A 26765-nucleotide genomic window follows, 5' to 3' on the forward strand; every position below is an offset into this window, starting at 1 on the left:
ATAGTCTAGTTTGAAAACCTAACTACACACATTTGCCACACTAATATTTTTGTATACTTTGGCAAATGGTTAATATCTTTAATAAATGGTTAAATTCCAAGAAAAATTTTGGCTCACAAGCTTTATTTCATTTCTTATGTTGGACCTTTACAGTTATCAGTCCAAACTGTTGATGATTCAGTGTCTGATATATTCTGCCTTCCAGAAAACTTTAATCCTTCTTGTTTACCTCAAAGTTCAATATAAACACATTCAGTGCAAAGTCTTATCTAAAATTCACGTTGTTGAAAAAGACATTTTCCTTATTCATGTAAAGTTACTCATGTAAAAATATGAAACATCAAGAGTAGTGTCTCATAAATTTTGTGTTTCAAATGGAAAGACTTTACATGACTTAGACTTAATATGGCTTAGATTGTGTGGCTAAAAACATAAATAGGTAATAAGTCAAAACAGGCTAAGTGGTTATTGATATCCATTGCTTAATTTAGAATATGACAACAATGATTTATCTTATATTTCTTTTTGAGGAGAAATAATAGGATGCAGAAGAGATTCAGTATTTTTAGAGGTAACCAGAATGCCCTTGGAAAGTTTTCTTTTTTTTTTTTTTTCCAGAGATGGGGTTTTGACATATTGCCCAGGCTGGTCTCAAACTTCTGAGCTCAAGTGATTTGCCTGCCTCGGCCTCCCCAGTTGCTGGGTTTACAGGCATGAGCCAGCATGCCCGGCCCCTTGGATAAGATTTTTTTTTTTAATACTTTAAGTTTTAGGGTACATTTGCACAATGTGCAGGTTTGTTACATATGTATACATGGGCCATGTTGGTGTGCTGCACCAATTAACTCGTCATTTAGCATTAGGTATATCTCCTAATGCTATCCCTCCCCCCTCCCCCCACCCCACAACAGTCCCCGGTGTGTGATGTTTCCCTTCCTGTGTCCATGTGTTCTCATTGTTCAATTCCCGCCTATGAGTGAGAACATGTGGTGTTTGGTTTTTTGTCCTTGCAATAGTTTGCTGAGGATGATGGTTTCCAGCTTCATCCATGTCCCTACAGAGGACATGAACTCATCATTTTTTATGGCTGCATAGTATTCCATGGTGTATATATGCCACATTTTCTTAATCCAGCCTATCGTTGTTGGACATTTGGGTTGGTTCCAAGTCTTTGCTGTAGTGAATAATGCCGCAAGAAACATACATGTGCATGTGTCTTTATAGCAGCATGATTTATAGTCCTTTGGTATATACCCAGTAATGGGATGGCTGGGTCAAATGGCATTTCTAGTTCTAGATCCCTGAGGAATCACCACACTGACTTCCACAATGATTCAACTAGTTTACAGTCCCACCAACAGTGTAAGAGTGTTCCTATTTCTCCACATCCTCTGCATCACCTGTTGTTTCCTGACTTTTTAATGATCGCCATTCTAACTGGTGTGAGATGGTATCTCATTGTGGTTTTGATTTGCATTTCTCTGATGGCCAGTGATGATGAGCATTTTTTCATGTGTTTTTTGGCTGCATAAATGTCTTCTTTTGAGAAGTGTCTGTTCATATCCTTCACCCACTTTTTGATGGGGTTGTTTGTTTTTTTCTTGTAAATTTGTTTGAGTGAGCTCATTGTAGATTCTGAATATTAGCCCTTTGTCAGATGAGTAGGTTGCAAAAATTTTCTCCCATTCTGTATGTTGCCTGTTCACTCTGATGGTGGTTTATTTTGCTGTGCAGAAGCTCTTTAGTTTAATTAGATCCCATTTGTCAATTTTGGCTTTTGTTGCCATTGCTTTTGGTGTTTTAGACATGAAGTCCTTGCCCATGCCTATGTCCTGAATGGTATTGCCTAGGTTTTCTTCTAGGGTTTCTATGGTTTTAGGTCTAACATGTAAGTCTTGAAACCATCTTGAATCAATTTTTGTATAAGGTGTAAGGAAGGGATCCAGTTTCAGCTTTCCACATATGGCTAGCCAGTTTTCCCAGCACCATTTATTAAATAGAAAATCCTTTCCCCATTGCTTGTTTTTGTCAGATTTGTCAAAGATCAGATAGTTGTAGATATGGGGCATTATTTCTGAGGGCTCTGTTCTGTTCCATTGATCTATATCTCTGTTTTGGTACCAGTACCATGCTGTTTTGGTTACTGTAGCCTTGTAGTATAGTTTGAAGTCAGGTAGCGTGATGCCTCCAGCTTTGTTCTTTTGGCTTAGGATTGACTTGGCAATGCGGGCTCTTTGTTGGTTCCATATGAACTTTAAAGTAGTTTTTGCCAATTCTGTGAAGAAAGTCATTGGTAGCTTGATAGGGATGGCATTAAATCTATAAATTACCTTCAGCAGTATGGCCATTTTCACGATAGTGATTCTTCCTACCCATGAGTATGGAATGTTCTTCCATTTGTTTGTATCCTCTTTTATTTCATTGAGCAGTGGTTTGTAGTTCTCCTTGAAGAGGTCCTTCACATCCCTTGTAAGTTGGATTCCTAGCTGTTTTATTCTCTTTGAAGCAATTGTCAATGGGAGTTCACTCATGATTTGGCTTTCTGTTTGTCTGTTATTGGTGTAGAAGAATGCTTGTGATTTTTGCACATTGATTTTGTATCCTGAGACTTTGCTGAAGTTGCTTATCAGTTTAAGGAGATTTTGGGCTGAGACAATGGGGTTTTCTAGATATACAATCATGTCATCTGCAAACAGGGACAATTTGACTTCCTCTTTTCCTAAATGAATGCCCTTTATTTAAGATTTTTTTAAAGATAAAAATAAGACTGTAGTGGGAGATGAACGATGAGAATACATGGACACATGGGGCAGAACAACACACACTGGGGCCTGTTGTGGGGAGCAGGGGGAGGGAGAATACCGGGAAGAACAGCTAATGGGTGTGGGGCTTAATACCTGGGTGATGGGTTGGTCTGTGCAGTAAATAACTGTGGCACACGTTTACCTATGTAATAAACGTGCACATCCTGCACATGTACCCTGGAACTTAAAAGTTGATGTGAAAAAAGAAAACATACACACACACACCCATACACACACACACACACACACACACACTCACACACACACTAAGGATTTCCAGAATTAATTCAATGGATAATTAGCTGGTTATGAAGCCAAAAACATGGCCCTGCCCCTGGTTTATAGAGATATAGATGGTATAGATATAGATACAGATATAGATATAGATATCCATAATGTGAATAAAAATAGGGCTGTAAGACCACCGATCTAGAAAACTCTCAGAATAAGCAGAAATTAAGTCATGTTATTTCCCTTCAGGTTAGTGCACTGACCATATATTGAGATAGGCTGTGACATAATGTGTATTGGAGTTGAAATACTCACAGTTGCCAGGCGCGGTGGCTCATGCCTGTAATTCCAGAACTTTGGGAGGCCGAGGCGGGTGGATCACGAGGTCAGGAGATCGAGACCATCCTGGCTAACATGGTGAAACCCTGTCTCTACTAAAAATACAAACAATTAGCTGGGCGTGGTGGCGGGCGCCTGTAGTCCCAGCTACTCGGGAGGCTGAGGCAGGAGAATGGCGTGAACCCAGGAGGCGGGGCTTGCAGTGAGCGGAGATCACGCCACTGCACTCCAGCCTGGGCGACAAAGGGAGATTCTGTCTCAAAAAAAAAAAAAAAAAAAAAAAAAAGCTAAAAAGAAATACTCCTAGTCCCCATTATTTAGAAGAGATTAGATTCTTAGATTTTCTTAAACTAAAATTAAAGAAGTATATCTGAACTCCACAGAGTGGAAAACATGTCTTAATGAGTACTCAGTGGTTGTTAAAGTAAGGGCAATGACTAGAACAAAAACTAAGAGGAAAACATGCCAATCCATCTTGCTAGAATTTTAAGACAATATGCCACCTTCATTCTCTCTTTCTCTCTCTTTTCCTCTGTCCCCTAAACTGTATGCTGCTCATTACCTGTCTTGCCTCCCTCCCTTCATCTCCCCAGCTTGACACACTTTCCCTTATTTTATTATATGATTTATTCCCATTTGTGGAATTTTCCAAGTGACATGGAGAAAAGGTTATCCTGGGGCTTCATCAAAATTCTTCTCTAAGACTGTAAGAATAAATTAAAGCAGGCGTGTGGCATCTCTGCTGGTGGGGAATGGCTACCCATGTTTAACAGTGTAACTTAATATTAACAAAATTAATTGCTAGGCTTGAGTACTCTCCAGCTCACATCAAAAGTCTTCAGCCTACTGTTCCAAGTATATATTTTCAGCATGGTTTTCTAGTCTATATAATGTAGATACTAATTAAGTCCTGTGGTCATTTTTTTCCAATAATAGCTTGTTTCCAATAGTAGGAATGGTTTTTATTGGTTTAACTTATATTTTTCTATGTTTATCATCACATCTCTTATGTCTGATTCCAATTTACCAATTATTACGGTTTAACAGCCAAGTTTTAAATATTAATTATATTTATGTTTTAAATATATTTGTTATATATACTATATATAACATGATATATAGTATATATAACATGATATATAGTATATATAACATGATATATAGTATATATAACATTATATATAACATATATAGTATATATAACATTATATATATATATATATATTATATATATATATATATATATATCTCCCAGAAATTTGACAACATTTTTTATTCCAAAAATAAAAGCATCCAGCAAAGAAGCCAAAAACATGGCCCTGCTCAGGTTTAAACCATCTGACTTCAGGGACATAATTACAGGCAGAAACTGACTTAGGTCCAATTATGTGCAGGGATCTAGCTGGGTGCCTCCTGTTTCTTCAAAGATGAGTAGCCAGAATTAGAATTTAAATTGTCAGCTCAAAGAAACACAGGATGTATTTAGTTTCTGCTAGTTAAAGAGTCATCTGAGAACCCAGAAGGGAAGACTCATGTCATTGATATATTTCTCTGAGCTTGATCCTAGTTTTTAGGTTAGAAAGGGGTCCTAGGTTCCTGAGAAACTGTAAACTTAACACTCTTTTCAATTACTTTGTACTTTATGAAATACCTTATGGCCAGAGCCTGCTATTCAATGCAAATGAATGTAACTCTATTCTCCCACATTGCACATAAGGGATGGAGTGTGGAGGGGGGAGGGAAATGGAGGGGAAAATGAAAATCTCTTGAAATAATAATAGTAATTAGTTTCTCTATTTGAAAACTCTAAGTTTCATTAAACAGCAATAATAACCAGCAGTAAGTAAACTGCCACCCCCAGGAGAGGGAAAAATGTCAAATTTCATCCTAAAAAGACTTGTGAAAACACAGGCACAGTCAATTCCATTTTATTCTGAAGATTTATTTCATACCAGTCAAAATTAATTCAAACCTGTCTCCCTGATGCAATGAGTGTGAAGAACTAAACTTACTGTCATTGGATTTTGCTACATCTCACCATCTCTAAATATTGAATATGGATGGCAGAAAAAAGCTATTGTTTGAAATTTGTGTTAAGGAAGCTTTAGTTCAAAAAAAATGCTGATACAATAGTGTGTGAGCATATGTGTGTGTGTGTGTGTGTGTGAGAGAGAGAGAGAGAGAGAGCGAGAGAGAACCAGAGAGAAAGAACCAGGGAAAGAGAGAAAAAGAGAGAGATTTTCCTTTTGGGGGATCTATTTCTGTATATACACCTCTCCTTTGTATCATATAAATGTAATAAAACCAGGGAAGGGGGGAGGGGCTCATTTTAGCCTTCCTGAAAGAAAGGCTTTAGTGCTAAATGTTATGTAAAATGATTTCACTCACCACTAAAGAAGTGACATATTTGAAAAATGATACGGCAGTTCTTTGAAATTCACTAAGGAGTTCCAGAATTAATTCAATGGATAATTAGCTGGTTATGGAGCCAAATCACAACTTGCATGTTGCAATTAAAATAGTAAACAATCATTTCACTTACTGTATGACTGTTTTCCTTGTGAACTGAAAAAATTTATTACAAAATATGAAATCAGGGAACCTAGAATGTACATATTTACAGGTATTTATGGAATCTCAAATTCTATTCCAGGTGAATTTAGAAAAAAATAGTTTAAACAATAGTCAATATTCTTTCTTTGACAAGGCAGGTACCCTAATTCCGCTACCTGAAGTTGGCATAATATCTATTAACAGCTAATGCCAAAATCAAAAAAATTCTATAATTCACATAATATAATAGACAATAATGTTAATGATAGGTAAAATGTATGCCTAATTCATTTAAACAGATTCCCTTCTCTTATCACCCATCAATCCAATTACAGCAAAACCCAAATTAGTAAGCTTTTACCAGTATCATGCATTGCATACATTGTACTAAATGAGAACATAGTATATACACATAAAGAAATGCTTTCAAGTGAGTTTGAACTACCCTTCTTTTGGGGCTCCAGAACAAATCAGCACCCATTTGGCCTTTTAAAATCCATTAAAAGGTTGGTCAGTATCTTCTTAGTGATTAGTAAGGCAGCCAACACTCTCTCCCATGCTTTGTCAAAGGTCAGACATATTGCATGTCTTGTCTCTCCTAAGAGGGGTTTGTCCATCTTTGGAATCTTTAAACATGATTCAGGTTTACTAGCCTCAGCTCTCTGATGGGCTCAAAAAAAGTTATGATTCCACCAATTATCTAGATTTTTCTTGTTGCAAGTGAAGAAGACACTATTTTAATAGTTTCCTACATACTATGCAGAACTAGAGGTGACCTAATAAACATTTGTGTGTGTGTGTGTGCGCGTATATATATATATGTATATAGTATATATACATATATACACATGTGTATATATACGTATATACACACGTATATACGTATATATGTATATATGTATATATACATATATACATATATACACGTGTATATATGTAAAAAAATACATACATACGTATATATGTATATATACATATATATACGTGTATATATACACACACATATATATATAATTTTTTTTTTTTGAGATGAAGTCTGGCTCTGTAGCCCAGGCTGGAGTGCAGTGGCGCTATCTCGGCTCACTGCAAGCTCCGCCTCGCGGGTCCACGCCATTCTCCTGCCTCTGCCTCCCCAGTAGCTGGGACTACAGGCGCCCGCCACCACATCTGGCTTATATTTTGTATTTTTAGTAGAGACGGGGTTTCACTGTGTTAGTCAGGATGGTCTCAATCTCCTGACCCCCTGATCCATCTGCCTCGGCCTCCCAAAGTGCTGGGATTACAGGTGTGAGCCACCGTGCCTGGCCACACTTGTTTATATTTTTAATTGTTGTAAACATTGTTCACAATAGGTACATAATATTCCACAGCAATTATCTACCATAATTTACTTGACTATTGCACTGTTGTTAAATGTTTTTTTCCACTTTTTTACCATTAAGAAAGAAATTGCAGTAAGTATGTTTATGCACATAGCTTATTTTTTATTCAGTATTACTTCCTTAGGACAGGTCCATAAATACAAAATACTTCTTTAAAAAAGAATAGGGTCAGACTCCAACTGATGGGTTTGAATCAAGTTCTACCATTGATTGTCTGTATTCTTCAGGTAGTTGGGTAACCCTCCAAGCATTTTTTGTAAAATATTTTCATTTTGCAAAATAATAATAGTAGCATCTGTCTCTTAAAGTTGCTGTGACAAGTAAATGAAATAGCACAAATGCAGTGCCTGGGAGTGGATCATCATAAGGGAAGCATGCAATTATTGTTATTATAAGATAATCTTTTTATAGATTTTTACAAATGACTTTCCATAATTATTGAGCATTTCACACCATCCTAAAATGTTTAACAAAGGCCTGCCTTTAGAAATCTTTTATATTTATTTTCATCCAGAAAACATAAGTTCTCTTATGTACATTGTTTTATTATCACATATGTTGTATGATATAGTCAAAACGCCAGGGCTATGTATGAAGGCAAATATACTTGGGATCAAATCCTGGTTTCGTATTTAACCATTTACAAACTTGGAATTTATTTTTAACTTCTCGATTTTCAAGTCCCTCATGATATTAATAATTACTCCTAGTCATTAAAAGGATTAGAAATAATATAGGTAAATTACTTAGACATATTGCATACTCAAAATAGGCTTCTCATCCTAAATGCACATTAGAATTACCTAGAGATCTGATGTCCAGCTGCATCCCAAGCCATTCCCATCTAAATTTGGAGGCTGGCCCCAAGTCAGTATGTTGTTACCCCTCCCTAGGTGAGACAAATAGTCAGCTGGTCAAACCACTGCCTCCTTACCATATTATAGGCTTAATAACAACCAAAATGCATAAATGACTTTATAATTTACATATCACTTCCATAAACATAATGGGATTTGATTACTACAAAATATTTGAAGCATTATTTTCATTGAAAATTCTTATATTTTTACAAATGTAAGTGGATTATGAACTATGATAATGAGTAATGTTGGCACAATTCCCTTTGCTCTATCTCAAATTCATGGTATTTCATGTTAGCTCATAAAATTGACACCAGATCTGTTTACAAATCTCTTGTCACATTTATATCATATATCATAACACCTCAAGCACAAAGTTTTTATTTAAAAAAGCCAGTCAAATCCTTCACAAAATCTCTGATTTTCTTCTGCCTCTTATTCAGTGACCTGATCATAGATACATAGACAGATGGATAAATAGATAGAATACCAAAAGTTGCAAATAACTTCATCTTATATGTAACCTGCCACCCCCCACCCTTTCTTTGCTATGAACACCAAGAACCTAGGTCTATAGGCATTAAAAACACTGTTGAAACTTGAAAAGAGTAAAATAATTGGTTGGGATTTCAGAAACACTGATCTTCATACAGAATCCAACAGAAAGGCCCTACTGATGAATGAAGAAGTGGCTTTCTAGATTATTGTAAAACAATGATTTTGTAAAACAGCATCATGTGTTACTCCCTTCCACTACTAAAAAAGGTACAACATGCTTTTTCTGGCCCCTCTGTGTATGACTACTTGACTTAGATAACTCATATTGTCCTGTAAGTTTTTACAGCTCAGTTCTTACTGGATTTTGTATTAGAACCTTATAATTTAAGAAAATAAAAAAGGTATTTTCTTGGACTATTGAAAAAGTACCTGTTTGGGGCTATTTCAAAGATACATGGAGTCCCAACATATTAATACTTGTTAAAATAAGAGTATCGGTGACATAATGGTATAGCTTGAAAAGCAAACAATATATCTTTAAAATAAATTATACAGGTTTAATAGAAAATGATACCTCAATATCACTGGCCAATGTGATATAAAAAGTCTAGCTGCATTTAGCCAATAGATGCGACTATTTTGGCCTCTAAAATTTCTACTCCTGCTTCTAAGTGTCCTTGTTGCCTGTTTTTAGATATCACAATATTATGAAACATTCCAAAAGATGCATACAAAATAAAACTCTTCTGCTGACTCAGCTTCTGTTGTATCTCAACCCAATAATGATATGTTGAGAATTAAGACTCTGTCTACTATAGCATATATTTTAATTATACTTTTATAAACCTGAATAAAATATAATTAAAATGTACTTACTATAGAGCTACAATAGAGCTACAATATGAGAAGTCTATTATTTTAATGCACACATTATAGAAAATGTAATTGACTTCTTAACAAAACCAGAAACTCTGCCTCATAACCAGGAAAATTAATCTCTACGCTGGGTAGATTTATTAGGAGTTATTATTATCCTAAGCTAAAAAGTTAAAACAAGTAAATATTTTATAAGGGGTCATTATTAACAAATGTACATTGATTCCCTCCTCTTCCCAGATTTTTTCCACCCTATTGTTCACTTAAGGGAAAAGCAGGTTGATTTACTTATTTCAATATTTTCTTCTCAATTTGTGTCTGGAAAGTACCTTGTGAGTATGATCTCTAATGTTTCTTGCTGACATGTAGCAGGATTATTGCTGTAGATTTAGGAAAACAGAATCCCAACACAGTGTACAAGATGGTGCTCCATGACATGCCACTTCCAAAGACATAAATTTTTCCTTAGCAGGAGCACAATGCTTCTTGTTATTGTAACCAAATTCTCATTGATTAAAACAAAAACTCAGCCTGCATAAGTAACCAGCTGCAATTAGTTATTTAAGCTGTATCTACTACACAAGGCAATTTTTATACAGTAGTGCAAGCAAAAAAAGATCACTTTATCTTTCTTTTTCTATCTATCATTATAAATCCAGAGAAAAATTAATGGTTCTTCAGAAAAACTACTTTTTAATAAGTCAGACATTCTTGGTTAAAACAAAAATGTTGATGAAATGTTTAGTATGGTTTAATAAAAATAAAAGCTAAAGTATATATGGAGTTGGGGGGTTTTATTCAAATAATTTATGACAATCATTTGATGAAGAAAATCTTATTAACTATTTTCAATTTGGGAATAAAGAGGTAGCTAATTACCTCCTCAAAATAGGTTAAAACATGGGATTAGGTTGCTCAAGAGAGATAATAGTTGTTTACAAGAAATACAATTTCTATGTCTGTAAATATTTTAGCTGCTTAAGTGTAGTAATCCAATAGACAAGCTGTCTGTATTTTTAAAATATAAACAGGATAATTTACATTTGACAATGTCTAGTCAGTATAAAGCCAAAATGTTGCTAGTCAGAAGTTGTCAGGGGTAATTGACTTCAACCTTATATTTTTCTTTTTAATACCTGACAATTTACAATATGAGCTTTCCCTTGGAAACCTCCTCATTTTCTCTGGACTGTCTGCCCGGAGGAACACCGAGTGGCTAATTCACAGTTTGCCTTCAGTAAATTCCGTGAACTGGTTGTTACTAGAAAAGCAATGTAATGCTTGTGTGATTGATTTAGTCAGGTAAAATAACAACGTGTGATAATTGGTCACTTGTGGTTGGAATACTAGCACAGACTTCCACATGGATATCATAATCCCAGTGACTACTTGCCCATATTAGGAGAGTCTGGTCATCTATGAAAGCTAACAGCCAGCAAGGGAATGGCTAAGATCCCAGCGGTGAGTGTATAATTAATTCCCAAGGACTCCACAGGACACTTTCTCTTCTCTCCAGAACTTTATAGATGAAGGCAGAGTATTATTTGTAAAAGCTCTCTGCTTGTCCTCAGTCAAGGTCATGAGAATTTCAGAAATAAATTCACAAAATGGATGCACTGCACTCAACATCTTCATGTGTTAAAGATACAAATAAAATTTACCTGGAAAAAATAGCCACTGATCATAGACAGAGCAGAAGTACTTTCAAGAAGACTGAATCCATGCTTTGCACAATTAAGCAGTGCTACCCACCCAGTGAGGATGCCTTATAGTAGCTCATATTTTCATAACAAACTGACTGGTAAATTTAAATGAAAAGTTTAGTGGGTACAACAGTGAGTGACCTGCTAATGAGTTGTTAAATCAAAGAAATAAGGAAAGTAAGATAAAAAGAATAGCTTATTTAAGCAAAAATCACAAGTCTAATAAGACACAGCGGCTACATAGCAGTTTATTCTAATCCAAAGCTATACTTCGATTTATAAAAAGGGAGAAAACCTACATAATATCCTCAATAAATGTCTTCCATGTCTGTTGGGATAGAATGTTGCAGTAGTTTTGCTATAGCTTCAAATTCAAAATGCACAATATTAAGTTTGTTTTTTTTAATTTAATTTAATTTTATTATTATTATACTTTAAGTTTTAGGGTACATGTGCACAATGTGCAGGATTCTTACATATGTATACATGTGCCATGTTGGTGTGCTGCACCCATTAACACGTCATTTAGCATTAGGTATATCTCCTAATGCTATCCCTCCCCCCTCCGCCCACCCCACAACAGTCCCCGGTGTGTGATGTTCCCCTTCCTGTGTCCATGTGTTCTCGTTGTTCAATTCCCACCTATGAGTGAGAACATGTGGTGTTTGGTTTTTTGTCTTTGCGATAGTTTGCTGAGAATGATGATTTCCAGTTTCATCCATGTCCCTACAAAGGACATAAACTCATCATTTTTTATGGCTGCATAGTATTCCATGGTGTATATATGCCACATTTTCTTAATCCAGCCTATCGTTGTTGGACATTTGGGTTGGTTCCAAGTCTTTGCTATTGTGAATAGTGCCGCAAGAAACATACATGTACATGTGTCTTTATAGCAGCATGATTTATAGTCCTTTGGTATATACCCAGTAATGGGATGGCTGGGTCAAATGGCATTTCTAGTTCTAGATCCCTGAGGAATCACCACACTGACTTCCACAATGATTCAACTAGTTTACAGTCCCACCAACAGTGTAAGAGTGTTCCTATTTCTCCACATCCTCTGCATCACCTGTTGTTTCCTGACTTTTTAATGATCGCCATTCTAACTGGTGTGAGATGGTATCTCATTGCGGTTTTGATTTGCATTTCTCTGATGGCCAGTGATGATGAGCATTTTTTCATGTGTTTTTTGGCTGCATAAATGTCTTCTTTTGAGAAGTGTCTGTTCATATCCTTTGCTCACTTCTTGATGGGGTTGTTTGTTTTTTTCTCGTAAATTTGTTTGAGTTCATTGTAGATTCTGGATATTAGCCCTTTGTCAGATGAGTAGGTTGCAAAAATTTTCTCCCATTTTATAGGTTGCCTGTTCACTCTGATGGTAGTTTCTTTTCTTTTGCTGTGCAGAAGCTCTTTAGTTTAATTAGATCCCATTTGTCAATTTTGGCTTTTGTTGCCATTGCTTTTGGTGTTTTAGAGATGAAGTCCTTGCCCGTGCCTATGTCCTGAATGGTATTGCCTAGGTTTCCTTCTAGGGTTTGTATGGTTTTAGGTCTAACATGTAAGTCTTTAATCCGTCTTGAATTAATTTTTATATAAGGTGTAAGGAAGGGATCCAGTTTCAGCTTTCTACATATGGCTAGCCAGTTTTCCCAGCACCATTTATTAAATAGGGATTCCTTTCCCCATTGCTTGTTTTTGTCAGATTTGTCAAAGATCAGATAGTTGTAGATATGGGGCATTATTTCTGAGGGCTCTGTTCTGTTCCATTGGTCTATATCTCTGTTTTGGTACCAGTACCATGCTGTTTTGGTTACCGTACCCTTGTAGTATAGTTTGAAGTCAGGTAGCATGATGCCTCCAGCTTTGTTCTTTTGGCTTAGGATTGACTTGGCAATGTGGGCTCTTTCTTGGTTCCATATGAACTTTAAAGTACTTTTTCCAATTCTGTGAAGAAAGTCATTGGTAGCTTGATGGGGATGGCGTTGAATCTATAAATTACCTTGGGCAGCATGGCCATTTTCATGATATTGATTCTTCCAACCCATGAGCATGGAATGTTCTTCCATTTGTTTGTATCCTCTTTTATTCCTTTGAGCAGTGGTTTGTAGTTCTCCTTGAAGAGCTCCTTCACATCCCTTGTAAGTTGGATTCCTAGGTATTTTATTCTCTTTGAAGCAATTGTGAATGGGAGTTCACTCATGATTTGGCTTTCTGTTTGTCTGTTATTGGTGTAGAAGAATGCTTGTGATTTTTGCACATTGATTTTGTATCCTGAGACTTTGCTGAAGTTGCTTATCAGTTTAAGGAGATTTTGGGCTGAGAAAATGGGGTTTTCTAGACATACAATCATGTCATCTGCAAACAGGGACAATTTGACTTCCTCTATTCCTAATTGAATACCCTTTATTTCCTTCTCCTGCCTAATTACCCTGGCCAGAACTTCCAACATTATGTTGAATAGGAGTGGTGAGAGAGGGCATCCCTGTCTTATGCCAGTTTTCAAAGGGAATGCTTCCAGTTTTTGCCCATTCAGTATGATATTGGCTGGGGGTTTGTCATAGATAGCTCATATTATTTTGAGATACATCCCATCAATACCTAATTTATTGAGAGTTTTTAGCATGAAGGGTTGTTGAATTTTGTCAAAGGCCTTTTCTGCATCTATTGAGATATCATGTGGTTTTTGTCTTTGGTTCTGTTTATATGCTGGATTACATTTATTGATTTGCGTATGTTGAACCAGCCTTGCATCCCAGGGATGAAGCCCACTTGATCATGGTGGATAAGCTTTTTGATGTGCTGCTGGATTCGGTTTGCCATTATTTTATTGAGGATTTTTGCATCAATGTTCATCAAGGATATTGGTCTAAAATTCTCTTTTTTGGTTGTGTCTCTGCCAGGCTTTGGTATCAGGATGATGCTGGCCTCATAAAAGGAGGTTTTTTCTATTGATTGGAATAGTTTCAGAAGGAATGGTACCAGCTCCTCCTTGTACCTCTGGTAGAATGTGGCTGTGAATCCATCTGGTCCTGGACTCTTTTTGGTTGGTAAGCTATTGATTATTGCCACAATTTCAGAGCCTGTTATTGGTCTATTCAGAGATTCAACTTCTTCTTGGTTTAGTCTTGGGAGGGTGTATGTGTCAAGGAATTTATCCATTTCTTCTAGATTTTCTTTTTCTTTTTATACTTTAAGTTTTAGGGTACATGTGCACATTGTGCAGGTTAGTTACATATGTATACATGTGCCATGCTGGTGCGCTGCACCCACTAACTCGTCATCTAGCATTAGGTATATCTCCTGATGCTATCCCTCCCCCCTCCCCCCACCCCACCACAGTCCCCAGAGTGTGATATTCCCCTTCCTGTGTCCATGTGATCTCATTGTTCAATTCCCACCTATGAGTGAGAATATGCGGTGTTTGGTTTTTTGTTCTTGAGATAGTTTACTGACAATGATGATTTGCAATTTCATCCATGTCCCTACAAAGGACATGAACTCATCATTTTTTTATGGCTGCATAGTATTCCATGGTGTATATGTGCCACATTTTCTTAATCCAGTCTGTCATTGTTGGACATTTGGGTTGGTTCCAAGTCTTTGCTATTGTGAATAATGCTGCAATAAACATAAGTGTGCCTGTGTCTTTATAGCAGCATGATTTGTAGTCCTTTGGGCATATACCCAGTAATGGGATGGCTGGGTCAAATGGTATTTCCAGTTCTAGATCCCTGAGGAATCACCACACTGACTTCCACAATGGTTGAACTAGTTTACAGTCCCACCAACAGTGTAAAAGTGTTCCTATTTCTCCACATCCTCTCCAGCACCTGTTGTTTCCTGACTTTTTAATGATTGCCATTCTAACTGGTGTGAGATGGTATCTCATTGTGGTTTTCATTTGCATTTCTCTGATGGCCAGTGATGATGAGCATTTTTTCATGTGTTTTTTGGCTGCATAAATGTCTTGTTTGGAGAAGTGTCTGTTCATATCCTTTGCCCACTTTTTGATGGGGTTGTTTGTTTTTTTCTTGTAAATTTGTTTGAGTTCATTGTAGATTCTGGATATTAGCCCTTTGTCAGATAAGTAGGTTGTGAAAATTTTCTTCCATTCTGTAGGTTGCCTGTTCACTCTGATGGTAGTTTCTTTTGCTGTGCAGAAGCTCTTTAGTTTAATTAGATCCCATTTGTCAATCTTGTCTTTTTTTGCCATTGCTTTTGGTGTTTTAGACATGAAGTCCTTGCCCATGCCTATGTCCTGAATGGTAATGCCTAGGTTTTCTTCCAGGGTTTTTATGGTTTTAGGTCTAACGATTAAGTCTTTAATCCATCTTGAATTGATTTTTGTATAAGGTGTAAGGAAGGGATCCAGTTTCAGCTTTCTACATATGGCTAGCCAGTTTTCCCAGCACCATTTATTAAATAGGGAATCCTTTCCCTATTGCTTGTTTTTGTCAGGTTTGTCAAAGATCAGATAGTTGTAGATATGCGGCGTTATTTCTGAGGGCTTTAGATTTTCTAGTTTATTTGCGTAGAGATGTTTGTAGTATTCTCTGATGGTAGTTTGTATTTCTGTGGGATCAGTGGTGATATGGTGATATCCCCTTTATCACTTTTTATTGTGTCTATTTGATTCTTCTCTCTTTTCTTCATTAGTCTTGCTAGCGGTCTATCAATTTTGTTGATCTTTTCAAAAAACCAGCTCCTGGATTCATTAATTTTTTGAAGGGTTTTTTGTGTCTCTATTTCCTTCAGTTCTGCTCTGATTTTAGTTATTTCTTGCCTTCTGCTAGCTTTTGAATGTGTTTGCCCTTGCTTTTCTAGTTCTTTTAATTGTGATGTTAGGGTGTCAATTTTGGATCTTTCCTGCTTTCTCTTGTGGGCATTTAGTGCTATAAATTTCCCTCTACACACTGCTTTGAATGCGTCCCAGAGATTCTGGTATGTTGTGTCTTTGTTCTCATTGGTTTCAAAGAACATCTTTATTTCTGCCTTCATTTCGTTATGTACCCAGTAGTCATTCAGGAGCAGGTTGTTCAGTTTCCATGTAGTTGAGCGGTTTTGAGTGAGTTTCTGAATCCTGAGTTCTAGTTTGATTGCACTGTGGTCTGAGAGACAGTTTGTTATAATTTCTGTTCTTTTACATTTGCTGAGGAGTGCTTTGCTTTACTTCCAACTATTTGGTCAATTTTGGAATAGGTGTGGTGTGGTGCTGAAAAAAATGTATATTCTGTTGATTTGGGGTGGAGAGTTCTGTAGTTGTCTATTAGGTCCGCTTGGTGCAGAGCTGAGTTCAATTCCTGTGTATCTTTGTTAACTTTCTGTCTCGTTGATCTGTCTAATGTTGACAATGGGGTGTTAAAGTCTCCCATTATTATTGTGTGGGAGTCTAAGTCTCTTTGTAGGTCACTCAGGACTTGCTTTATGAATCTGGGTGCTCCTGTATTGGGTGCATATATATTTAGGATAGTTAGCTCCTCTTGTTGAATTGATCCCTTTACCATTATGTAATGGCCTTCTTTGTCTCTTTTGATCTTGGTTGGTTTAAAGTCTGTTTTATCAGAGACTAGGATTGCAACCCCTGCCTTTTTTTGTTTTCCATTTGCTTGGTAGATCTTCCTCCATCCCTTTATTTTGAGCTTATATGTGTCTCTGCCCGTGAGATGGGTTTCCTGAATACAGCACACTGATGGGTCTTGACTCTATCCAATTTGCCAGTCTTTGTCTTTTAATTGGAGCATTTAGCCCATTTACATTTAAAGTTAATATTGTTATGTGTGAATTTGATCCTGTCATTATGACGTTAGCTGGTTATTTTGCTCGTTAGTTGATGCGGTTTCTTCCTAGCCTTGATGGTCTTTACAATTTGGCATGTTTTTGCAGTGGCTGGTGCCATTTGTTCCTTTCCACGTTTAGTGCTTCCTTCAGGAGCTCTTGTAGGGCAGGCCTGGTGGTGACAAATCTCTCAGCATTTGCTTGTCTGTAAAGTATTTTATTTCTCCTTCACTTATGAAGCCTGGTTTGGCTGGATATGAAATTCTGGGGTGAAAATTCTTTTCTTTAAGAATGTTGAATATTGGCCCCCCCTCTCTTCTCGCTTGTAGAGTTTCTGCCAAGAGATCAGCTGTTAGTCTGATGAGCCTCCCTTTGTGGGTAACCCGACCTTTCTCTCTGGCTGCCCTTAACGTTTTTTCCTTCATTTCAACTTTGGTGAATCTGACAATTCTGTGTCTTGGAGTTGCTCTTCTTGAGGAGTATCTTTGTGGCGTTCTCTGTATTTCCTGAATCTGAATGTTGGCCTGCCTTGCTAGATTGGGGAAGTTCTCCTGGATAATATCCTGCAGAGTGTTTTCCAACTTGGTTCCATTCTCCCCATCACTTTCAGGTACACCAATCAGACGCAGATTTGGTCTTCTCACATAGTCCCATATTTCTTTGAGAGTTTGTTCGTTTCTTTTTATTCTTTTTTCTCTAAACTTCCCTTCTCGCTTCGTTTCATTCATTTCATCTTCCATCACTGATACCCTTTCTTCCAGTTGATCGCGTCGGCTCCTGAGGCTTCTGCATTTTTCACGTAGTTCTCTAGCCTTGGCTTTCAGCTCCATCAGCTCCTTTAAGTACTTCTCTGCATTGGTTATTCTAGTTATACATTTGTCTAATTTTTTTTCAAAGGTTTTAAATTCTTTGCCATTGGTTTGAATTTCTTCCTGTAGCTTGGAGTAGTTTGATCGTCTGAAGCCTTCTTCTCTCAACTCGTGAAAGTCATTCTCCATCCAGCTTTGTTCCAGTGCTGGTGAGGAACTGCATTCCTTTGGAGGAGAGGCACTCTGCTTTTTAGAGTTTCCAGTTTTTCTGCTCTGTTTTTTCCCCATCTTTGTGGTTTTATCTACTTTTGGTCTTTGATGATGGTGACGTACAGATGGGTTTTTGGTGTGGATGTCCTTTCTGTTTGTTAGTTTTCCTTCTAACAGACAGGACCCTCAGCTGCAGGTCTGTTGGAGTTTGCTAGAGGTCCACTCCAGACCCTGTTTGCCTGGGTATCTGCAGCAGTGGCTGTAGAACAGTGGTGGCTGTAGAACAGCAGTGGCTGTGGAACAGTGGCTTTTCGTGAACCGCAATTGCTGCTGCCTGATTGGTCCTTTGGAATTTTTGTCTCAGAGGATTACCGGGCCGTGTGAGGTGTTAGTCTGCCCCTACTGGGGGGTGCCTCCCAGTTAGGCTGCTCGGGGGTCAGAGACCCACTTGAGGAGGCAGTCTTCCGGTTCTCAGATCTCCACCTGCATGCTGGGAGAGCCACTACTCTCTTCAAAGCTGTCAGACAGGGACATTTAAGTCTGCAGAGGTTACTGCTGTCTTTTTGTTTTTCTGTCTGTGCCCTGCCCCCAGAGGTGGAGCCTACAGAGGCAGGCAGGCCTCCTTGAGCTGTGGTGGGTTCCACCCATTTCGAGCTTCCCGGCCGCTTTGTTTACCTAAGCAAGCCTGGGCAATGGCAGGCGCCCCTCCACCAGCCTCGCTGCTGCCTTGCAGTTTGATCTCAGACTGCTGTGCTAGCAATCATCGAGACTCTGTGGGCATAGGACCCTCCGAGCTAGGTGCAGGATATAATCTCCTGGTGCGCCATTTTTTTAAGGCTGTTGGAAAATTGCAGTATTCGGGTGGGAGTGACCCGATTTTCCAGGTGCCATCTGTCACCCCTTTGTTTGACTAGGAAAGGGAACTCCCTGACCCCTTGCGCTTCCCGAGTGAGGCAATGCCTCGCCCTGCTTCGGCTCGCCCACGGTGCGCTGCACCCACTGTCCTGCACCCGCTTTCTGGCACTCCCTAGTAAGATGAACCCGGTATGTCAGATGGAAATGCAGAAATCACCAGTCTTCTGTGTAGCTCACTCTGGGAGCTGTAGACCAGAGCTGTTCCTATCTGGCCATCTTGGCTCCCTCCCTAATATTAAGTTTTTAACTTATTGCTTTAATAGAATTTTAGCAAAAAACAAATTGAAAATATTCAGTCGCAATGACTGGAATTGCCATCATGAACCCAAATTTGAACACCTTAGGCCAATAATAGCATAGCCTCACATTATAATATTTATTATGATTATAGTACCTTTATTTTACAAAAAAAGAGGGGGCTTTCTGTTGTGAATGCATTTTTCAAATCAAAAAGTAGAAGAGTATCCACTGTGTGCATTTGTCCTATAAACTTGTTTTTCCTAAATTTACTGAATTACTATGAATGGTACTGCTATCTTGCTGATCAGTAAACATAAATCAAACATAAATATATGGGTTCATGAAAAGTGCTTAATGCAATACCTACAAAAAGTTAGCTTTCTATAATTTTTTATGATGATAATCATCATCATATTTGGATTCTCTTTTGCATCCACGTAGTGCTACACTTCCCTCCATAATTTCTACCTGCTATCTCTCTTAGCAGTTCCTTTCTACAGCTCTTGCTGTGCCTTAACTCAAGCTTCTGTTGCCTCCTGACTTGACTTGATTGTCATAATAAAGTACAAAGTGATTTCTCACCTCTAGTTTTGCCTGTTTTGTTTTTTCCAAAACCATTTATATCCTTAATATTAGTGACACCATGATTTTTCTAAAATGAAATATATGTTACATTACTGTTTCGGGTCCCTCGATGATTCCTAACAGGAAAGTACAGACCCTTTCATGGTATAAATGGTCCTATGCAATGTGCCCTCCCTTTTCCTATTAAATGTTATATCTTACCCCTCCCATTTCTCAACAGGAGAACTAAAACTTTTACATGCTATGAATGGTTCTGTGCAGTCTATCAATCTGCCTTATGTTTACCTACTAAACATCATCACTCACCACTCATATTCAGTCATATTCTAGACCCCAAAGGTCCAACTTTGAGTTGCTCAAATCTTCCATAAGGTTTCATGGTTGCACACCTCACATGATAGTTGTTACACTTTTTTTTAAGTTTCCATATGCACTATACTTAAATGTTTTTTTTTTTCCCTGCTGTTCTGTTGTAGAAGTAACTAATTTATTCTCTGTGCGCCCTCTAAATTCCCAGTTTACCTGTGTTAGAAACTATGCTATTCTATCTTATACACACACCCCCGACACACACACAAACACACGTTTGTTTATAGACGTTTTGGATGGCAAGCTTTGTTTCGTCAGAACATAGCATGTACTACAGCACCTGGCATACTACCTGGATTATTTTCCAATCTCCATGACAATAATTGGAAACATTTCAGGATTACTTAGTAGTACTAGGACCTCATAAATATTAACACATTGATTAAGACAAGGTATTTTCTGTCATTTAAGAAGTCCAGAATTGTCCAAAGTGTTGTCACTTCGCAGAGTAATTTAATTCTGATCATTCTCTTTGTTACTAGACTTGTGAATTATTCAAGAATTGTGTTTTTCCTTCTTTATGCTGGCTTCCAGAATGTAGACCTCCAATATTTATATGGAAAATACATATGTATTTTGTTTCATAAATTCAATATCCTTATTTTACATTTCCTATTTTACTTCATACTAATTTTGTTACTATATTTTACTTTTTGCCCAGCGTTAGCTTGGAAAATAGAACATGAGGAAAAGCTTATATGCAAAGGGTTTATTGAGAGGTAAAATTCCAGGCCAGAGGAGTTAGTTAGGAAGGAAAAGGAAGTGAGGTTAGAAGACGGGAAAGTAAAAGTATTTGGGAGTGTGATACAAACCTGGCCATGGAGTTAGAAAACACAGCTGGCTGTTTGCCAAAAGCAGTGTCTTCCAGAAAAGACACGTAGAATCACGTTGCTTCAGTATAGTCCATCAGGAGGAGGATGGAAAAGACATTCACTTTCCAGATTCTTAAAGTCTCCGGTCCCTCGTTTTTATTCTCCCCATGGGCGTTAAAGTTCTTGCTTTCCTGGATTTTCTTCCTTTCCCTGTCCAGGCAATTGCTGGAAAAGCTGTATGTCACTCCCTAAGGCTGGATGTCTTCCTCTAGGTCAGAAAGCTTTGGACAGGAACAGAACTTGTGTGTGTTCCTCTGGGTGAGACTTCGGTGTTAGAGTTGCGGTGGCCCACTATGGTGATACCAAGAGGGACTCTGGTTGGTACATTCCACTTCTTACCTCCAAACAAGCTTTAGCAGTAAATAGTGTCAGAAGGGAAAATAAAGGCAGTGGCATGCTATATTCTCCAATAAGCAAAAGGCAGAGGCTTAAAGAGGCAGATAAACTGAGGCTGGTACAGTTCATCCCTTGTGCCTTTCTGCTTGCATCCTCTTATGATATCTGGATCTTATATAAGAACAGGATGGTATCATATCTTCCATAAAAGGGAACATGCAGGTTCAACCTCTTTAAAAATCTTAACAAACTTTAGCAAACTGAAACTATAGTCTGCAATGCAGCAGCTAGCCATGGTGTCAAGATTTCCTTCATCCTTAGCCATCATCTTCCCTCATATGGTTTGCTTGCTTTCTGGAGTGACCTAGATATTAAATTCAAACTCAGAGAAGTATGATTTGTTGTTGTGCCAATATCTATTCACAATTTTCATTGGTCATGGAAATACCATAAGACAGTCTAGTTAATCACTTAGGCTCCAGGTCTATTCTTGTCTTCCCCCATGGTGCAGTTGTAACTGTAGGTATCCCTGGTCAAAGTCACTTTCCCAACTCAGTAAAATAAGTTTGCTCTTGGGCTGCTAGTCTCCTGGCCTACTTTCCTTTAATGTATCAGATTTTTTTTCAGATGCCTGATTAAATATCCAAGATATTATTTCCTAGGAATAAGTGCATATCTTTATCTATGACTGTTTCTCTTTTCATATAAAGTGGATGTTGAAGTGCACCCCTCATAGATCTAGTCACTGGAAGGATTTTTCTTTACCCTTATTCTTAAAAATCACCCTTTAGTGGAACTATAATGAATAACAGATTAACTCCAGTTAGTATCATCATATCATGCTTACATTTCTGTAAACCAGGCCTGAGCATTTTTCTTCACTTTAATTATGTTGTAGGGAAACCCCCATGAGACTACAGGTGTGAAGCAAGATAGAAGCATCAGTGCAAAAGAGGTAAGTGTCAAAGGAATGTAGAACACCTGTTCATAACTTACAAGTTAGCAAGTCTGTTACCCACAGGATGACAACTTTAGTTGCGTAATTACTTGATGTTCCATAGTCAGGTACATAGTTTCATCTAAGGCATAGTAGCTGCAGATTAATATATTCATTTAATAAACATCATTTTAGCTAAACAACACACTTCTAAGTAATTCATAAAGACTATGTTTCAGGTCAGATATAAAAATGCATTGTACTGCATATAAAAGAAAATATATCAATATTTGTGGAACACATCTCAAGTAGTGTTGAGTGAAAAATCTACAGCATTAAATGCATGAAATAGAAAAAGGAAATATTCTAAGTTCGTACTTCAAGTATCTAGAAAAAGAAAAGCAAAATAAATCCAAACCAAGTAGAATTGGAGAAATAATAAAGATACGAGCAGAAATAAATGAAATAGAAAACAGAAAAACAATAGAGAAAACCAATACAACAAAGATCTGGTTCTTTGCAAAACATCAATAAAACTGACAAATATGTAGCACAACAGAGAAAGAAAAAGAGAAACAGAGAAAACAAAGTACAAATATCATGAATGAAACAGGAATATCACTATAATTCCTGCAAACATCAAGAAGATATGAAAAACTCTATGCACATAAATTGGACAAAATAGATGAAATGGGCCCTTTTTTGAAATACACACAAAGTACTAAAACTATTAGCACATACAATTTAACAATATAAAAATGTTATACACCATAGCCAAGTGAAGTTCATTCCAGGGATGCAAAACAAGGTCAATATTTGATAATCAATATAGTCCACCACATTAATTAGCTAATTTTAAAAAACATATCAATTGATGTAGAAAAATCTTCAGTTTGATAAGCAGCACCTACAGAAATCCTACATCTAACATTTTCCTTCAATGGTGAAAGTTTGAAACATTTCCTCCTAAGATCTGTAACAAGGCAAGTATATATGCTCTCAGAATTTTTATTCAATAAGCACTAGAAATTGTAGCTAGTGGATTAAGGCAAGAAAATAAAAATTAAGGGCATGCAGATCAGAAAGGGAAAATGAAAGTGTTTTATTTGCAGATGACATGATTGTCAATGTAAAAATTTAAATTCAATCTAAAAATTCTAGAATTAATCAGTTTAGCAAGGTCACATGACACGAGATAAAATTCAAAAATCAATTATATTCCTATCTACTAGCAACAAACGTGGATACCAAAATTGAAAATACAATATCTTTTATAACTTCTAAAAAAATGACTTACAAGTATATTTAACAATAATTTATAGTAACTGTATCCTGAAAACTAAAAATACTTTATTAAAAAAATCAAAAAAGAAAGAGCTAAGTAAATGAAGAGGAGACATACCATATTTATGGGCTAGAAGGCTCAACATAGCAAGCATGAATTTTTGCCGAGTTAATATACAGGTATAAAAAACTTCTTACCAAAATTCTATATTTTTTGTAGATATAGACAAGATATATAGAATAGCTAAATCAATTTTGAAAAAGAATAATAAAATGGAAGGAATCTGTTTCTCTGGTTTCAAGATTTAACATATAGGTATAGTAATCAGTACTATGTGACTGTGGTAGAAGAATAGTTATATAGATCAACGGAACAGAATAGAGAACCAAGAAACAGACACCCACAAATCTACCCAACTGATTTTTGACAAAGGTGCAAAAGCGATTCAATGAGGAAGGATAACTCTTTCAACAAATAATAGTGAAGCAATTGGACACACAACTCCATAGACCAAAATAATCAAATCTTACACTGTACACAAAAATTAACACATAATAGATCACAAACTTAAGTGTAAAAAGCGAAATTAAGACTCTTAGAAGAATTGGATAAAGAACGTCTTCAGAATGTAGAGTTAGGCAAAGAACTCTTAGATTTTAAACCAAAAGCATGATAGTAACAGGAAAAACTGATACGTTGGAATTCATTGAAATGAAAAATTTTGGTCTGCAAAAAGCTGCCAAGAGGATGAAAAGACAAGCTACAGACCAGGAGAAAGTATTTGAAAACAATATATCTAACAACAAGTATCTAGAATTTATAAAAACTCTCAAACTGAACAATAAAGAAATAAACAATCTGATTAGAAAACGAGCAATCACAGGCAGAGGCATTTCACCAAAAGGCATTTACAAATGGAAAATAAGCACATGAAAAGCTATTCAACATCATTAGCCTTCAGGGAAATGCAAATGTAAATCACAGTAGGTATCACTATACATCTATCAGAATGGCTAAGAGAAAAAAGTGACAACACCAAATGCTGGTGAGGACACAGAGAAACTAGGTCACTCCTAAATTACTTGTAAGAATATAAATGGTTCAATTACTCTAAGAAGCATTTTGAAATTTTTTTAAAAAACCTCACATAGAACTACCATATAACCCAGCAATTGTACTCTTGAGCAATTTTCCATAGAAAAAAAAAAAACTGACATTCATACAAAAACATGTACATGAACGTTTATTAGTTTTATTCAAAATAGTTAAAAACTAGAAAGGACCCAGATGATCTTCAAAGAGTGAATTGTTAAGGAAACTTGGATATCTTTATCATGAAATACTGCTTAGCACCAAAAAGAACAAACTATTGATACACACAATGAGCTCAATGAACCTCCAGAGAATTATGGTGAGTGAAAAACAGTTAATCCCCAAAGGTTTCATACTAAATGATTCCATTTAAAAACTGTTATGGACTTAATATGTTTCTTCAAATTTTGTATGCTTAAATCTTAATTCTAGTACCTCAGAATGTGACTATATTTGGACACAAGGTCTTTAAAGAGATTAGTAAGGTAATAGGTCATTAAGGTGGGTCCTAAGCTAATATGCCTGGTGTCTTTAAAATAAGAGGTGATTAGGACACACACACACACAGTGGCAAGACTATGTGAAGACACCAGGAGAAGATAGGCATCTAACAGTCAAAGAGAAGGCTTCAGGGAAAAAAAAATTCCTGCCAACACCTTGAACTTGGACTTCTAGGCTCTAGAACTATGAGGGCATAAATTTCTCTTGTTTAAGCCACCAAGTCTGTGGTACTTTGTTATGGAAGCCCTAGCCAATGAATACAATAACCATCCTGCAATGAAAAAATTATAGAAATATGGAACATATTAGTGGTTGTCAGGGGTTAAGAAACAGAGTGTAAGGGGATTGGGTGTAATTATAAAAAAGCAAAATGAGGGATCTTTGTGATGATGTAAATGTCCTGTATCTTGACTGTTTCAATATTAATATCCCAGTTGAGATATTGTACTATAATTTGCAAGATATTACCATGGTTGGGGGGACTGTTTAAAGGGTACAAAGGCTTGCTTTGTATTATTTCTTACCATTCCATGTGTCTACAATTATCCCAACATAGGAAGAAGTTAAACTAAATATGAGATATTATGTCAATATTCAGGCAGAAGGGATTTAATAGAGACTGTACAGAATATTTGGGAAAGCAAAATTGTAGAATCTTAAATAACTGATTTGACTATTGATTTCTAGGCTATGTCCAATAGAGCTACAAATCTGAGGTCAGAAAATTGCCACCCCCAATTACTCATCAGGCCCTGGATCAAACCAGTCACTATAGTTATCCCGAAATTTCCCGATCCCTACATTTGTGCTAGCCAGCAACCATATCACCAAGAGACCAAGAGAATGGGCTCCATCACATTTGTGACCTTTTAATCTCAAACCAGTATAACTAATTTGTGAAAGTTAATTTATATACAACGGTCCAGATTAAGGAAATCTTGAAAGTTAGTTTTTAAATTTCCAAATTCTCCACCTAGAAGGCAGTTGGAATGGAAATTTTTAGAGGAAATACATATTACCAACTACACTAATACTTTTCTTTTAGGGCCGTAGTAAGAATTAAATAAAATAATATTTGTGGAAGTGTTTCCTTAACTGCTAGTCAAATGTTAGTTTCACTTCTAATCTTCAGGTCTATGTAGCTTGAAAAATTGCTTCTTCTCCTTTACTCTTAGGTTTCATTAATGGGAAAACTGATGAAGGTTGGATGAGAAGCCCTCTGTCAAATCCATACATCTGTAGTCAGTAAAATATAGACTTTTCAGCCCTTGGCAGTTTTCCCTTCTCTTTCTATGCTATCAGTTGCATACCCACATTACAACTTGTAACTCTTAAATTCATACTTTTCACTCCGACCTTAAGCTTTGAAATTTCATCTTATATATCAGGTATCTTCAACTAAGATGTTCTAAATTTACTTCATAATTAATTTTCTCCAAATTCAAGACATCTTGGGGATGGGAATTAGGGAGATATTGGTCAAAGGACACAAAATTTAAGTTAGACAGGAGGAATAAATTAATGAAATCTATTGTACAATATGGTGACTATGGTTAATATCAATGTATTGTAGTCTTGAAAATTGCTAAG

General features: G+C 36.7%; 1 long non-coding RNA gene across 14 annotated transcripts in view; it reads left to right on the forward strand.

The window, feature by feature from the left end:
• Positions 1-26765, forward strand: part of LOC105375387 (uncharacterized) — a 52989-nt gene that overhangs the window by 3415 nt on the left and 22809 nt on the right. For all 14 annotated transcript variants that reach the window (NR_187914.1, NR_187924.1, NR_187919.1 and 11 more), the window contains exon 2: positions 22259-22315. This is a non-coding gene — a long non-coding RNA (uncharacterized LOC105375387). The remainder of the gene's footprint in view (positions 1-22258; positions 22316-26765) is intronic.

Source organism: Homo sapiens, chromosome 7, assembly GCF_000001405.40.
Source record: "Homo sapiens chromosome 7, GRCh38.p14 Primary Assembly".
Classification (NCBI taxonomy): domain Eukaryota; kingdom Metazoa; phylum Chordata; class Mammalia; order Primates; family Hominidae; genus Homo; species Homo sapiens.